General features: G+C 34.6%; 1 protein-coding gene across 49 annotated transcripts in view; it reads right to left on the reverse strand.

Moving 5' to 3' along the window:
* BAZ2B (bromodomain adjacent to zinc finger domain 2B) overlaps positions 1–18,028 on the reverse strand; it is a 397,131-nt gene that overhangs the window by 95,449 nt on the left and 283,654 nt on the right. For 31 of the 49 annotated variants that reach the window (XM_047444047.1, XM_047444046.1, XM_047444040.1 and 28 more), the window contains 3 exons: positions 17,551–17,659; positions 17,181–17,282; positions 1,575–1,785 (listed from right to left, as the gene is read on the reverse strand). In XM_047444047.1, coding sequence (XP_047300003.1) covers positions 1,575–1,785; positions 17,181–17,282; positions 17,551–17,659 — 422 coding nt within the window. Of the gene's footprint in view, positions 1–1,574; positions 1,786–9,019; positions 9,130–17,180; positions 17,283–17,550; positions 17,660–18,028 lie in introns of those variants that run through there. The other 18 variants (XM_047444052.1, XM_047444064.1, XM_047444057.1 and 15 more) reach the window with 2 other exon arrangements.

Raw genomic sequence — 18,028 nt, forward strand, 5'->3', positions numbered from 1 at the left:
TAAAAACTTGAAAATGATTTGTGTAATATGTTTAGATTTGTATAATATATGCTTAGAAAAGTGTAATATATATTTATTATAATTGTATGATAGTGAAGATCTAGAAGTAGCTTAAATAGTCATCAAAAAGAGACTGACTCAAGTCCACTTATTTTAAAAATCAAAAAGGATATATATGTATATGTGAGTGGTTGCATGTGTGTGTATGTGTGTACATATTTCTGGAAAGATTAATTATTCCACTGATAACAATGAGAATGTCTTTTATTTATTTCTTTAGAGACAGGGTCTCACTCTGTCAGCCAGGCTGAAGCGCAGTGGCATGATCATAGCTCACTGTAACCTTGAATTCCTGGGCTCAGAGGATCCTCCCACATCAGCCTCCACAATAGCTAAGATTAGAGGAGTGTGCCACTACACCTGGCTAATTTTAAAATTTTATTTGTAGAGATGGGGTCTTGCTTCATTGCCCAGGCTGGTCTTAAATTCCTGGCCTCAAACAATCCTCCCACCTTGGCATCCCAAAGCATTAAGATTACATGTGTCTTTAAAGCATTCTATTCTATGAGTTTTGTCATAGATATTTGTTTTATAATAAAAAACAAAGCAGCAACAGAGAAGTCTATATTATGATGGTGTTTACAATGAATAGAATTAAGTCTTTTATACATTTCCTCCACATTTTGCTTATTTATAGGGATAATAAAAAACCCATGAGAAGTAGTAAAATTCTGTTAGATTTTTAAGTCAATTTTCATTATTAAACCTTTATTTTACATTGTTACATATCTTTATATATATGCCTTGCAAATATAAGGTATCTACACATATGTTGATATATTCAGACAGTCTTAAGCGGCTTCACATTTGTAACTAGTGACTCAAACTGCAAAGCCAAACTGTTCTATTTTACTCAGCCTTCTCTTTGCCATACATAGCATGGGACTTTCATGTTGACATTTTATGTATAATGTCAAATCATTAATACAGTTTAGGTTATTATCAGCACTTTGAGCTTGATAAATGATAATTTCTGGTTATCTTAAAGTACTTTTTGATTTTAATGTATTAATTTGTTATTCTGAAAATATATATACTATATCTGGACTACAGGAGAACCCAAACTAAAAGACTGGGGTTACTTACCAGTAATTGGAGTTCTCTGACTGAAAATTTACTCCACAGATCCACATATTTTGGAGTTATTCCCATGTACCACCTCAAGGAATCGGGAGCTGTTAAAATGAGAATTTCCAGAAGGTTGGCACGACCTTAAGGCATGTGCCAAGTGCTGGTTGATTCCCTTTCTGTGCAAGCCTTAAAAGCTTAACACCCACCTTTGTAATTCTAAATACACAGGATAGGATGTGTTTATGAGTAATGGTTCTTGAAAGATTACCTAATCAAAGAACTCCAGTTACCAGTGGGACTCCTTATTTTTTCATTTTATTCTAACACAACTATTTACTTTTTAAAAATTGAGAGCAGTGTCAATCCTAAGTCAAAAATATTAGAAATACTTTTAGTATACTTTTTAGTATGATTATTAGTGTCAGACACATTATGTTTCTTACCTTGAGCTTGCAGTTTTCTTAGCAACTTTGCATCTGCGTTATCTAGGAATTCAGCATTGCCAACATTTGGAGGTCGACCTTTCCGACGTCTCATCCTGGATTCCTCTCTTGCTCGTTGTCTATCTGGATTTGGTGGTCTTCCTCTACGACCTTCCATTGCCCTGATACGAGGAATGACATCCTCTTCTTTCAAAAGACACCACTGCATTCCCTTTTAATTAACATTTTATAGAAATAATATATTACAAACAAAATAAACACAAGAGATCAACATGTAAGAAAATTCTAGCTAAAAATCACATATATTTTGGAATTTACAACATTAGTATAAGCTTTAGGAATTTCATTTTTAAATTAAACTTAGATGTATAATTATTCATGGCCTTTGGCATAGCTTTAATATTCTTACTTTAATGACTTAAGCTTTAATTAAATATATAGATTTGTATCTGTATCTATAAATGTAGAGATATAAATCTTAATCACCATTTCTGAACTATAATGACCATCGAGTTAGCAGATATTTAAAAATGTTAGTTGTACAATGATGCCACTATAGATTGCTCTTATGGGTTATCAGTTAAACCAAAACACTAAGCTACCCAAATAATACATGAAAGTTTCTCTTTATAAATATTACAGCTAACAAATTAAGACAGAAAGAGTTAGAATATCAGGATTCTGCAATACCTAATAAATTAGTTAATTGAAGAATTGAACTTGAATGGTTGCCTATCATCAAAAAGAGACACAACTAGACAGGTATCAGCCTCCTGATGGAGGCTCATACAATCACCTATAAAATAGTACTGCCCCTCACACACACACAAAAATCAAACCTGGATTTGATCAAGCCTCTAGATTTAATTACAATAACTTTAAAAGAAACACGGAAGTATAAGTTAAACTATACGGCAAAATCCATTCTGTGGGAAATTCTATAAATGACCTAGTTTCTTCAACAAATGTTGCAAGAAGTAAGAAAACTGTAGGAAGTTTAACTGAACCTTAAAATATGTATCAAACAAGCCCAATTTGTGGACCTTACTTGGATACTTATTTAAATAGACAAACTGGCTGGGCGCGGACTGGCCGGGCACAGTGGCTCACGACCTGTAATCCCAGCACTTTGGGAGGCCGAGGCAGGCAGATCACCTGAGGTCAGGAGTTCGAGACCAGCCTGGCCAACATGGTGAAACCCCGTCTCTACTAAAAATACAAAAATCAGCTGGGTGTGGTGACAGGCACCTGTAATCCCAGCTACTCGGGAGGATGAGGCAGGAGAATTGTTTGAACCAGGGAGGTGGAGGTTGCAGTAAGCCGAGATCGCACCATTGCACTCCAGCCTGCAGGATAAGAGCGAGACTTCATCTCTAAATAAATAAATAAATAAATAGATAAACTGTTAAGAAAATTTGAACAATAAAGAGACAACTGAAAATCTGAGCAATGACTGAGAGTTGATGATATCAAGAACGTATCAATGTAAATAAGTACAACCACTATGGAGAACAGTTCGGAGGTCGCTCAAAAAACTAAAAATAGAGCTACCATATAATTCAGCAATTCCACTGCTCTGTATATATCTAAAAGAAAGGAAATGAATATACTGAAGAGGTGTCTGCACTCCCATGTTTGCTGCAGCACTGTTCACAATAGCCAAGATTTAGAGGTAACCCATATGTCAGATGGATAAAGAAAATGTGGTAAACATACACTACACAATGGAGTACTTATTCAGCCATAAAGAAAAATGAGATCCTTTCATTTGCAACAACATCATGGATGGAACTAGAGAATATCACGTTAAGTGAAATAAGCCTGGCCCAGAAAGGTAAGTTTTGCATGTTCTCACTTATTTGTGGGAGCCAAAAATTAAAACAATTGAACTCAACAGAGATAGAGAGCAGAATGATAGTTACCAGAGGCTGGGAAGGATAGTGAGAGGAGAGGGGCAAGGGAGTGAAGATGGTTAATAGTTATAAAAAATATGTGGGTAAAATAAATAAGATCTAGTATTTGATAGCACAACATGGTGACTACAATCAACAATAATTTATCATACATTTAAAAAAACCTAAAAGAGTATAACTGGATTGTTTGTAACACAAAGAAAGGATAAATGCTTGAGGTGATGAATACCCCATTTACTCTGATGTTATTATTTTGCACTGTATGCCTGTATCAAAATATCTCATGTGGCCGGGCGCGGTGGCCCACGCCTGTAATCTCAGCATGTTGGGAGGCTGAGGCGGGTGGATCTCCTGAGGTCAGGAGTTTGAGAACAGCCTGGCCAACATGGTGAAACCCCGTCTCTACTAAAAACACAAAAATTAGCTGGGCACGGTGGCGGGTGCCTGTAGTGCTAGCTACTTGGGAGGGTGAGACAGGAGAATGGCTTGAACTCGGGAGGCGGAGGTTGCAGTGAGCCGAGATGGAACCACTGTACTCCAGCCTGGGTGACAGAGCGAGACTCCACCTCAAAAAAAAAAAAATATTCTCATGTACCCCATATATATATACCTATTATGTACTCACAACAATGAAAAAAATTAAAAAGAAATTATATATTAAAAGTATAATAGTGGTACTGTGGTTATGAGTCCTTATCTTTTAGAGACACAAATGGAACCATTCCTTCAACAAATTTTGGAAGGGAGAAGTAGATGAGGGTATATGTAAAACAGTATTGGTCAAAATGATAATTCCTAAAACTTATGATGGGTACAAGGTCTATATTATCAGTCCATCTATTTCTGTATATATTTGAGATTTCTCATCATAAGCCTCCTAGTGGAGGCACATGCCAACACAATGCTAGTGTATCTGCGGCCGGGCTCAGTGGCTCATGCCTATAACACCAGCACTTTGGGAGGCTAAGGCGGGCAGATCAAAAGGTCAGGAGTTCAAGACCAGCCTGGCCAATACAGTGAAACCCCGTCTCTACTAAAAATACAAAAATTAGCCGGGCGTGGTGGTGTGCACCTGTAGTCCCAGCTACTTGGGAGGCTGAGGCAGAAGAATTGCTTGAACCCAGGGGGTGGAGGTTGCAGTGAGCCAAGATTGCGCCACTGCACTCCAGCCTGGGCGACAGAACAAGACTCCGTCTCAAAAAAAAAAAAAAAAATACTGCTTAGCACATAAATACATGTATCCTGCATGTGTCAATCAAAACAAATACACTGTTATATTACCTTATAGTCCAAAATAATATGTTCAGATATAGGAGACATCTTTTAAAAATAATTGTCTTATTATTTCTTTTTAAGAGTTAATTCCTTCAGTATGAAGGTTAAGGAAATTTTTAAAACGTGTTTTTCTCTAAAAATATCCTCAAAGTAGAAATTTTGGTTGAGTCACTAGAAGAAACTGTGCAACCAAAAATAACCCAAAGTTCTTGAGTTTTACGTTATAACATGATTTGCCTAACCTGGGGCAAGAAGTCTATGAATATCGCAGTTAATGGGTACTAAATTGTACGTGATTATGGATAATAGCTACATCTCACATTCTAAGTATTGTGCTTTGTTCCAGATACTTTGAATAGACTATACACTTTAATCTTCACAACATTTCTATCTCATATGGTGGGTTTTATCGTCTTTACAATTGAGGAAATTCAGGCTGAGTGAGGTTGAATAGACAGCAAAGAACAGACTGTGATTCAAACCCATGACTGTCTCACTCTAAAACCTGTGCTCCTGACCACTATGGGTACTTGATGTTATAAAGATGTTCTTATACCTGATAAGTGACAGATCATAACATTTAGCCATGAAAGCACAGCCAAGATTATGTCAAGAAAAGACCGTCAGAAAAAAACTAATGCATATGTTCATATATACATATGCTAAAAATAACATCTATACTAACTCCTTTCAGTAATTCTTATCTTAAAGATAATTTTAAAAATTAATTCTGAGGAAAATGAAAATTTTTTGCTGAGATTCCAAATAAAGTCAATAGGAACAATAGTTGTACAAAGTGTACTTTTAGGCCATAAGCCACTAAAAAGGAAGATATCAGCATAGTTTTATGTCAGGTTATGTTCACCAGCATGGGAAGCTTTTGATTAGTTTAGGTTTTCATTTTTTTATTATGTTCTTAAGCACCAAGGCAGCATGTATCATATAACTTGTAAAATATAAAGGTAACATTCATGATACTTGGAAGAGAAGAGTGACTACTAAAAGTCTGTAAACAAATCTGCATTTGGTTTTTAAAGTATCTTATTAATAACAAAATCAATTTTTGGCCAAAATTTTAAGAGTTCTGTCAACTTTTCTTATCCAATTTTTACATAGTTACATTTTTATTCAGCTAGGAAAATACACCTGTGTCAAAAGAGGAACAAAATATGTTGGTGCCTAGAACTTAGCAGACAAATATAGTGACCATATCATTCACATTTTTGCCCTTGGCATTTAAAAAGTAAATACTTTCTAAAGGGATTGCATATACTGGATTATGTATAATGTCTTCTGAATCTTAGATTTTAGAAAATGAGAAAAGAATCATTAGGAAAATCTGAAACTTATACAACAGCTTTAATTCATTGAAGAGCCAAAATAATTGTGGGTGAGAACAAGTAGTATTTTTCTCAATAAATTTTTCCTCAGGAAAAGCAAATACAATTTACATCATTTGATTCACATGCCATTGGCTTTTTATCTATCAGAAGTTATATATCAAAAGAATTTAATTCTTTTTTCTTGATTTCTAAGACTTAAAATAGTAAATATTTGCTGAAAATAATTTTTGTTGACTAAGATTTTTAAAATATGGATAAGAAAAGATGATCAACAAGATGGAGATAGCAAAAGATTAGGTTTTTTTTTTTGTTTTTTTTTTTTTGAGCTGAAGTCTCACTCTGTGGCCTAAGCTGTAGTGTAGTGGTGCAATCTCAGCTCACTGCAACCTCTGCCTCTTGAGTTCAAGTGATTCTCCTGCCTCAGCCTCCCAAGTAGCTGGGATTACAGGCGCTTGCCACCATACCCGGCTAATTTTTGTATTTTTAGTACAGACAGGGTTTCGCCATGTTGGCCAGGCTGGTCTTGAACTCCTGACCTCAGGTGATCCACCCGCCTTGGCCTCCCAAAGTGTTTGGATTACATGCGTGCGCCACCAAGCCTGGACAAGATTATGTTAATTATATTATTCTAATTCTGCTTTCGAGAGTTGCTAATTTGTATTCTTAGTGAATAATACCTTCACTTCTATAAATACTACAAAGAGAAAAAAGGAAAAAAAGAAAAGGGTTTACGTTTTATTTCAGAAGACTGAATAATCCAGGTAAATAAGGTAATGAAATAAGTGAAAGTACACTGTAAATCTGTAATATATTATAAAAATGAAGTTTTCACTACTTAAATATTTGTTGAGGCACCTTTACTCTGAGCAAGGCATAACATTATCTAAAAGTCAGCTAGAGAGAGACCTTTTCCCTAAAGGACCACATTTTTAACAAGGACCTCAGGCTCAGTCAATTCTAAGGCAGGTGACCCTAGGACCACACCCTCAGTAATGCATTAGAAAAAGAGTTTAGAGCTTGGGAGAGAAAGTTGTCTCAACTGTCCATATAAAAATTATGATGGCCTGGATTAGAGCACAGGAATTAGAGCTAGAAAGAGAGATGAATAGTACATTAGTCTTTTGGGAGAGAGAACTGGCTGAAATTGAACACCGCCTGGATGTGAAGGAGGAAAGCCTGAATGTAGACCAGAAAGGCAGTTAAGGTTTGGAGTAGTCTCTAAAGAACATGGAAAAGGGAATTAAGTGGCAATGATGTTTTCTTACTGAACAAATAAGGATGGAGAAATATTTGAGAAAACTGGAAAACAAATTTATTGCTCAACTTTTTTATGACTTATAAACAGACTTTTAAAGAAAGAAAATATTTCTTTTTAGTGAGTTCTTAAATATTTTCTGTATTCAGAAATTCAAAAGAGATCATGAAATTTATTTTCAATATGATCTTCCTATTTCAACATTTCTGTTATATAGTCTTCATAAATAAATGACTCCAAAGGATAGGTGAACCCTTCATGAGGGACTGGTTTGTTTTCACCTTATCTTATAGACAGTAAATTGCCCAATTAACTGGGTTTCCCACATTTCACTGAAAGCTAGGGTAAATATGTGGTTTAGCAGCCACATGTTTAGGTCTTAATGGGATGTGTTCTCAAGTCTTATTCCTGATTCAATTTTACTCATCCTGGCTTGACTTTTTCTTTTGTTGCTCCCATTTTTTAAATACTTGTAAGCTGATTTTTTTTTTTGGGAAAAGCAGTATATAATTATGTAAATACAGTATACCAGTCCACCAAAAGCTGATTAGCTGAATGATTTATTTGCTAAGTTATTGATGACTATTTTTAAAGTTTTAGTATCACCAAGACTGGGATGCAGCAATTTCACATGGATTTACAGTCCTGTGCCACTAGATGCCCAGCTTCCCAAGTTAACATTTGAGATGCCTAGTACTGTCCTTCTTGAATGCTCAATGTTATGTAAGTGAATGGAAGGACTTTGCTCTTCTCATATTTTTCTGGACTGAGACCTCTATCTATCCCAGTCCTTGCCTCTGGTAGTAAAATATTTGTGGGGTATGTTTTAAATCTGGATTAAGGCAATTGGTCTGACAATTTAAGGCCTATTAGTCATTTGGTAGATTGATCATTTACCAAATTGATTTCTGGTTAAATAATTTTCAGTAAATTTAACCATAGCGTAAGTAAACAAAGTTAATTTTTTCCTACCTTTCCTTTTGAAATTGTACTTTCAGAATCTTTTACTTCCCAATTTGTTTATATGAAACTTTTAGAATGTCACACCTAAAAGCAAATTGATCTTAAAGACCTCTTATATGCATTTACATTACAGATGAGAGAATTAAGTTAGCTTCAGTGTAAGTAATGTAAGATATGAAATTACCCTTCTAGAACTAAAAAAATTCTTCGGGAATGAGCAAAGAAAGGGTATCAGATATTTGCGACGAAATTTGACAATTCACATAAAAAAATTAACATCATGAGAAAAAAATCAAAATTTTGTTGGATTTCCTTATGCCTTTTCAATTTAGTATTATGTCTATTTCTAGCTACTTAATAGTGCCAGAGGTAGGCAGTGAAAGGGTGATAGATTATCAACTTTATGACAGATATTCTTAAGTCACACTAGTCATATAGCTTATTATACCATACACTACATAGCACTTTAAAGATGTGAAAGAGTAAGAACCATGAGAAAAGGTGTCATCTATTAAAAACAAGTGAGAAAGATGTGGTTTGATACAACTGTTTCCACAATGCTGACTATGCTTTCTACTTACTCAAAGTATGTCATCCTCTAATAGTCAACGACTTTCAATATCTCCTCCTTCTATATCCTTGGATTCACACAGTTGTCCTCCTAGTATAGGCCTCGCCTAGCCACAAAAATCCTACCTGGTAGATTAGTGACATAAATTTCCGGACTTATAGATTTCTGGTACTGATCTTTCATGTTCTCAGTGTCCATTCGTGCCCACGGCTATGTTGCATTAGGTGTGACAGTTAACAGCAGAGCTGAATTAGAACTCTGGTTGTTGACTTCCAATCTTTTGTTCTTCACTTAATTCGAAATAATTACCAGCATTATAATTGTGCCAGAAACTGTGTGTTGCCCACCTTACTGTGAAGCCTCCTCTTACTCCTTATTAACAAAACCCTAATTTTTAGCTGGGCAGCATTGTGCCTACTGTTTTATCTTCCTCAGAGAATAAGCTTCTCTAAACCAACAATCATTTTTTTGTATTCTTCAGTTTCTCTATGAACATTAGTTTTTCTTCAAATTCAGGCTTTCAACTTCATTTCTGTACTGAAAGGTGTGTTCACAATTTGCTCTATGGGAAAATGCCTTTAGGGGACATCTACTTACAGAAAAAACTGCCTGGCACATTAAGTATTTGCCACACATATTTACTGATTAAATGACTCAGAAAAAAAGGCTCTTTTCATTAAGAACTGTAGACATTTTACTTTTTATGGCTTATGCATTAAAAAGAAGAAACACTGTACTTTTTTCTAAATGCAACATCTCGAAGAAAAAAAGCAACATTTTCAGAGTCATTTTAAACTTGCTTCTTCTTTGCATCTTTCAATTTTATGCTTTTTTTGGGCCTGGTAACAGTAGATATTCCATACTCTAATGGTTCTAAACCTCCTGGTTGAAAGAAATAAACTTAAGGTCTTTATGCTTAGATGTATAGCTTTCTACAATTCACAAAAAATGCTTTTCAAGGTAGATCATCATATATTTCAAAATAATACGTTATTAACAATTTATTTTGACGCCTTCCTCTAGTCCTAAGAAATATGTAAATACCTCTTACCTTAGTGTTATATTTAGGTAAATAAAAATAATGCTATTTTATTACCAAAATATGTCTAGCTCAACCTTATCTTCTTTTATTCTGACAATCAAACACAAAGTAAAATAAAAACAATGCCATTTATTCAACAATTTTTTTATAATGTGATGAAACAGAAGTCCGTAGGAAATTTATTTACCTTACACCATTTTCAAAGGTGTTTCTTAAACTGCTAACAGAAATTCATTAAAAGGTAGCCAGCCAGTACAGCATAGGCTTATATAGAGTATTACAATTGTTTTGTTCCATGAAGTCTATCACTCCTCTAAAATCAAGATTTTTACAGAAGCTGGTAAGAAGTGTTTGAAAACTATCAATATGCTGAAAAGTAGCCGATGCTACAAATTCCTCACTACATCTGTGGACCAAAATAAATAAAACTGATAATGGATATATTAAGTGTATCTTATACCCTATTTCTTTCTTTACATTTTTTTTTTTTTAATTAGAGACAGGGTCTCAATCTGTCACCTAGGCTGGAGTACAATGGCATGATCATAGTTCTCTGTAGTCTCAAACTCGTGGGCTAAAGCAGTCCTTCCACCTCAGCCTCCCAGGGAGGTGGGACTACAGGCATGCAGCACCATGCCCAGGTAATATTTTTATTTTTTGTGGAGATGGAGTCTTGATACATTGCTCAGGCTAGTCTTGAACTCCCGGACTTAAGCAATCCTCCTGTCTTGGCCTCCCAAAGTGTTGGGATTACAGGTATGAGCCACTGTGCTGGGCCTTTTATCCCCGTTTCATTTGTAATCCTATTTTCTTGAATTAAGGGCATCTCCTTTTTTAAAGGTAATAATTACATTGTTGTCCTTCAGTAAATGATAAATTTATCTAAATTTTAATAAATATAAGCTCACACACCTCTCATCTTATTGTACTATACAAAAGTTAATATTTTCAACAATTGCTTGCTGTTAATATTAATAAATACATATATAATCATATCTTAAGCCCAGAAATATCTTGAATCAAAAAATGATTAAGCAAAATATCCACGGTATTCAACAAGAAAAAATAAAAGGCATCCAAATAGGAAGAGAGGAAATCAAACTATCTGTCTTAAGAGACAATATGATTCTATACCTAGAAAACCCTAAAGACTTTCACAAAAGGCTTCTAGGACTGATAAACGAGTTCAGTAAAGTTTGACAATAAAAAATCAATATACAAAAATCAATAACATTTCTATACGCCAATAGCATCCAAGCTGAGAGCCAAATCAAGAACGCAATCTCATTTACAATAATAGCCACAAAAAGAATAAAATACCTAGGAATATAGCTATCCAAGGAGGTGAAAGATCTCTACAACAAAAATTACAAAACACTGCTGAAAGCAATCAGAGAAGACAAAAAGAAATGGAAAAACGTTCCATGCTCATGGATAGGAAGAATCAATATTGTCAAAATGGCCATATTGCCCAAAGTAATTTACAGATTCAATGCTTATTCCTATCAAACCATCAACGTAATGTTTCACAGAAACAGAAAAAACTATTCTAAAATTCATATGAAACCTAAAGAGCCTAAATTGCCAAAGCAATCTAAGCTAAAAGAACAAAGCTGGAGGCATCACACTTACCTGACTTCCAACTATACTACAAGGCTACAGTAACCAAAACAGCATGGTACTGGTACAAAAACAGACACACAGACCAATGGAACAGGACAGAGAACTCAGAAATAAGACTGCACATCCATGACCACCTGATTTTTGACAAAGTCAACAATAACAAGCAATGGAGAAAGAAATCCCCTATTCAATAAATAGTTCTGGGATAACTGGCTAGACATATGCAGAATATTGAAACTGGACCTCTTCCTTTCACCATATACAAAAATTAACTCTACATGTATTAAAGACTTAAATTCCTAGGAACAAACCTAGGAAATACCATTCTGAACATCAGCCTTGGCAAAGAATTTATTACTAAGTCCCTAAAAGCAACTGCAAAAAAAATAAAAATTGACAAGTGAGACCTAATTAAACTAGAGCTTCTGTACAGCAAAAGAAACTATCACAGACAACCTACAGAATGGGAGCAAATATTCACAAACTATATATCTGACAAAGGTGCAATATCTAGACTCTGTAAGAAACTTAATTCAACAAACAAAAAATAACCCCATTAAAAAATGGACATGAACAAACACTCCTGAAAAAAAGATACATGGAGCCAACAAATATACACAGAAATGCTCAACACCCTTAATCATTAAAGAAATGCAAATCAAAACCACAATGAAATACTATCTCATTCTGACACTAGTCAGAATGGCTATTGTTGGCCGGGTGTGGTGGCTCACACCTGTAATCTCAGCACTTTGGGAGGCCAAGGCAGGCAGATCATGAGGTCAGGAGATTGAGACCATCCTGGCTAACACGGTGAAACCCTGTCTCTACTGAAAACACAAAAAAATTAGCTGGGCGCGGTGGCAGGCGTCTGTAGTCCCAGCTACTCAGGAGGCTGAGGCAGGAGAATGGTGTGAACCTGGGAGGCGGGGCTTGCAGTGAGCCGAGATGGCACCACTGCACTCCAGCCTGGGTGACAGAGCAAGACTCTATCTAAACAAACAAACAAACAAAAGAATGGCTATTATTAAAATGTCAAAAAACAATAGTTGTTGGCAAGGTTGCAAAGAAAAGGGAACACTTTATACACTGCTAGTAGGAATGTCAATTAGTTTAGCCACTGTGGAAAGGCAATGTGGAGATTCCTCAAAGAACTTAAAAACAGAACTACCATTAGACCCAGCAATCCCACTACTGGGTATATACCCAAAGGAAAATAAATTGTTCTACCAAAAAGACACATGCCCTCACATGTTCATTGCAGCATTATTCACAATAGCAAAGACATGGAATCAACCTATATGCCCATCAACAGTGGACTGAATAAAGAAAATGGTATATATACACCCAGGAATACTATGCAGCCATAGAAAGAATGATATCTTATCCTTTGTAACAACATGGATGCATATGGAAGCCATCACCTAAGTGAGATAATGCAGGAACAGAAAACTAAATATCACATGTTCTCACAAGCGAGAGCTAAACATTGAATATCCACAAACACAAAGATGTGAACAGTAGACACTGGAGACTACTTGAGCGGGGAAAGTGGTGGCGGGGGATGGGGCTGAAGGTTGAAAAACTACCAATCGGGTACTGTGCTCCAGGATCATTTGCACACTGAACCTCAGTGATGCACAGCTTGCCCGCTTAGCAAACCTGTACACGTACCCCTGAGCCTACAATAAAAGTTGAGAGAAAAATAAATAAAGCACTGTGTCCCTAAAAAAAGCATCAAACTACATGCTTAAAAACGATTTCATTTTATTGCATGTAAATATGCCACAATAACATTACTTTTTAAAGAAAAAAGTTTTTTCAATTATGGGCTTTTTTTCTTTAAAAATAATATTAGCAACAAAGAAATTCTTAAACATAAGAAAAATTAAAGATTTTATCTTTTCTGAAATAAAATACTGATAGGCTGTTGCTTCTCTTTCAGATTTATCACAGGTTGCTGTATAGACTTTGGGGGTGAGGGGACTTGTTTTTGTTTTCAATTAGCTTTTTTACTTCTTTAGTATTTAATGTTGAGCTGAATGGCCTTTTATGTAAATTATACTACTGGAAGGAATAAATCATTATCTCAATAAACTAGAGAAAAACCCAGAATTCTGCAATGCAGGTATTATCTTCTAGCAGAAAGTATTATCTCCTAAATTTTATATATAATATATGGAGAACTGGAATTCTGCTGATGCAATTTTTGTTATGTGTTAAGTAAAATTAGAACATATAGAACTAACGTTGGGGGTTTTGGGATATGTTTTAAGATTAAAAAATGATGAAAAAAATATACTTCCCAGGAAAATGTTTTAATAGGAGAGTGATTAAGAATAGAGCTGTCCCTTAGTATCCAGGACCTCCCTCTATGAATACCAGTATCTGCAGATATTCAAGTCCCTGAATAAAAATAACACAGTATTGGCATATAACCTATACCTATACTCCTATATACTTTAAATCATCACCAGATTACTTATAATAGTAAACACAATGTAAATGTTATGCAAATAGTTGTTACATCATATTGTTTAGAAAATAATGACAAGGAAAAATGTCTGTACATGTTGACTACAGATACATTTTTTTTTCCTGAGAATTTTCAATCCACAATTGCTTCAATCCGCAAATGCAGAAAACACAGATATGGAGGGCTGACTGTACTAATGAATCCACAAATACAGCATTTCATTTGCTATCAAACATCACAATAGATACATGAAGCTTGGAAAACTGTAGTGGCAACATTTAAGATCATTTTGTACAATCTCCATGCATTTGGAAAACTATGAATTCTCAGTTTTATTGAATTACAAAGAATAGGGGTATTTAGTTTTAAAAGACAGGAAATTGTTTTTCTGTTGTTGTTTTTTTAGATGGAGTCTCACTCTGTCGCCCAGGCTGGAGTGCAGTGGCCTGATCTCGGCTCACTGCAACCTCCACCTCCCAGGTTCAAGCAATTCTCCCTGCCTCAGCCTCCTGAGTAGCTGGACTACAGGTGCCCACCACCATGCCCAGCTAATTTTTGTATTTTTAGTAGAGAAGGGGTTTTGCCATGTTGGCTAGGCTGGTCTTGAACTCCGGAGCTCAAGTGATCCGCCTGCCTCAGCCTCCCAAAGTGCTGGGGTTACAGGCGTGAGCCACAATGCCCGGCCTGTTTTTCACATTATATACATAAAACAAGCAAATTTTAGAAAAGACACAACATGCAAAAAATGTAGAAAGCAAAAAAAATCCTTTGTTATCACCATTACATCCATCATTAGTTTTGACACATTTCCTTCTAGTCTTTTAATATCCAGTTTTTTAAACATGTTTCATCATCAAACCACTTACACAATTTGCATAAAAGCAGATATATTGTAAATACGTATGATCATCACTGCATGGTAGCAGTAGCTTTGTGTCACACTATATTTTACATCTTCTACAAAATTTAGGGTGATCAAAATTATTTCACATCATAATTACTATAACAAAATTATATAATCTTGGTTTTCAGAGAACATTCTTATATAATGATATACATTTCCAGTTAACCATATGCTTAAACCTATTAATCACACAATCCAGTATATAAAAATGTACATGGTTTTATAACTATATGCATCTCTAATTAATTAACTAGAACACTTTTTTGGATGACTTACCTTTAATTGTTGTTTTCTAAAAGTATCCTGAATTCCTGTGTACTAATTTTGGTTTTAGCTAAAAGAAATGCTCTCAAAATTACGAATGTTTTCCCCTAGCATTCTGCTGAAATGTTGGCAGCTTAACATATTTGGCTTTAGTAATTCATCCTATTTCCTTGATTGGAATTGATCTCAACAAGACAGTATGCATTTGGAAAACACTGATTATATTTAATAAAAAGTGAATGCATGTCAAGGAACATTCTACTCTGTGTAATGAGGCTTTATAGATTAGGTCTAATTATCACTGATATAAAACTAAAAATCCTTTATATGCTAAATAGCAATTAGCTTTCCTCTCCGAACAAAAATCTAGTGAACTTAAAATCACAAAGACATCTTTGGCATAAATAATACAAGTAAGAATCTGATAACATGAAACAAAGACTTTTAAAACGATTAAAGTTTCTAATATGTTTTATGACTTTAAAACTGATATCGTGTATACAGAATGTGTAACACTGTGGTTCACTAAAATTCTAAGAATCTGGTGACAGATTTAGTCTAAGTCAAAATCTTTAGTTTTTAAAAAAATAGAAAACCCTAGAATATATTTCCATATATTTCTATAAATCTCAGATAAACCCATTTTGACATTTTAGAACTACCAATAAAGAGACAGGTAGATCTGGACATAACTTCTTTCTTTAAAAGTCATGGACTACAATAGAAAATAGGTTACATGATGTATGCAAAAGATTACTTTTTCAGAAACCTTGAGTTCTAGTTATGTCTCAGCCTTGTGTGTGACCTTAAAAAATTCCTTTAAGCTTCCAAACTCAAAATAAACCTCTTACAGAATGAGGGAGACCTTTTCCATTTCAAAATTATAAAATTAAAGGGTAAGATAGGATAGAAAAGCTCCCTATTCACAAAGAAAATATTAATTGCCAAAAAACTTTTCTATGCATTATAATGGGACAGAAGAGAGAGAGGTTCAAGGAAGAAGGAAAATATCAACTTCAGCTGGCTGAGCATTTTAGCCTTTTGAAACATTTTTATGCATATGATCTCATTTTAATCTTGCCATAATCCTATGAGACAAGAAGTGTAATTATAATCGTTTCTATTTGGCAGATAACAAAGTGGATGGAAAAGGGGGCATTATTTTGTTATTGTTCAGAATTACAAGAGTATTTCACGGATTAACAAGAATCTAGGTCTCATCACTCCTTAACTGGGACCCCTTTCAATGCAGCTAAAGGGAATAATAAGCACATGCAGCTGAATACAACTAAGGAACAAAGGGAAAGCATTAAAGAAAACATACAGGAAATGAGATCTCCTTGGTGGGTTCTTTTTGCTGACTGGTGAGGATGTGTACTTAACACTGTAAGCTCAAAGGGAGCTGTGGTGATATGTTCAGAAATGTGTACCACTTAATGTAAAAACTGAATTTCTGCAAAAACCAGAAATTTCATTCACCTAATTTTAAGAAATGACAAAAAAAAACTTATCAAACTTGTGAAAATGCATCATATAGCGTGGCATAATCAAATGGACAAGATTCTTCCAAAACACTAGGGCATACATATCCTCTTTTGGACTGACTTATAATAATAGGGTCTTCATATTCAAATTAGTTTTTAAAACTAGCTGTACTTTTCAGAAAACTAATGTTTTCCTATATTTCATATGAAGATGCAGATGCTTTTATACCTATATAAACTGTAAAGTTATTGGTTGAATTAATAAACAGAAAAAATTTACTTAAATATGAAAAAGATACCTATTATGTCAAAGCTCCTTGTTACTGAAACATAGTTAATTGAGGCCTTAATGAGTGCTTACCACAAAGTTATATGTATAGCCATATGAACTAATTAAAGAAAGGCAATGCTCCAGAGTGTAGTGAAATTTACTTCATTTAGGTTATGGTACTACTTTTTGGTTCAAAGACTATACTTTTTAAAAAGTGGATACCTGCGGTCCATCTCTGGCTTCATAGAAGTCACCCACTCTTATTTTTGCACTGAAGCTGAAATTGTCCCTTGAGATATCCATTATTCCATTTCTGCTGAGATACTGAAAAAATCACATATTTTTCCACTTCAGGTTTTAATAATTACAACCCAGCTTTGATGTATAGCTAGCTTCAGGACACTAATGTTTTGCATATTCTATCAAGGGGCTCTAAATTTATAGGAGATCAATTTAGGTTAAGTACAATAGTCCCATACAAGAGAATATTTAGTATCAAGGAACTTTATCTGAGAAAGGAGTACACTTTTTTTTTGTACATGATCATGCTTAATAGGCACCAAATGTACATTATTTGGTGAAAAGTATGTACCTTTATTACTTCAGGGTACTGCCTAAGTTTCTTTCCACATGGAGCATAATATGCTACTTCTCCTTGAAGGCGCCCTCCAAAGTTTCTTATTCTTGTCTCTCTCTGCCAGCTACACATAACAGAAATGAAGGTTATGACATACTTAATTTCAAGAAAGCTTTTAAAAATTAAAAATAAGTTAAAGTATACATGTTCTCTAGAAAACATAAAAAATGAAAACAAAAATAAACTCCTCAAACAACCCAAATACATTAACTCTCAAAATTATTTAGATTTTTAGCTAATTCAACTAGAAAATTAATTATTCAATTTATATATTAAACTCCATCAAAATTTTTAGAAATCATACTTGATTACTTTGGGTACTCTGACATTTCAGTAACATGTTAATGTGTACTGATTTTTTACATCTGAAAAGCTTTAAGGGAGGAGTAAAGTAAACCTGGCTCTCTGCTGCTTGGGGTTCACGTACATCCAG

This window comes from Homo sapiens, chromosome 2 (assembly GCF_000001405.40).
Source record: "Homo sapiens chromosome 2, GRCh38.p14 Primary Assembly".
In the NCBI taxonomy this organism is placed as follows: domain Eukaryota; kingdom Metazoa; phylum Chordata; class Mammalia; order Primates; family Hominidae; genus Homo; species Homo sapiens.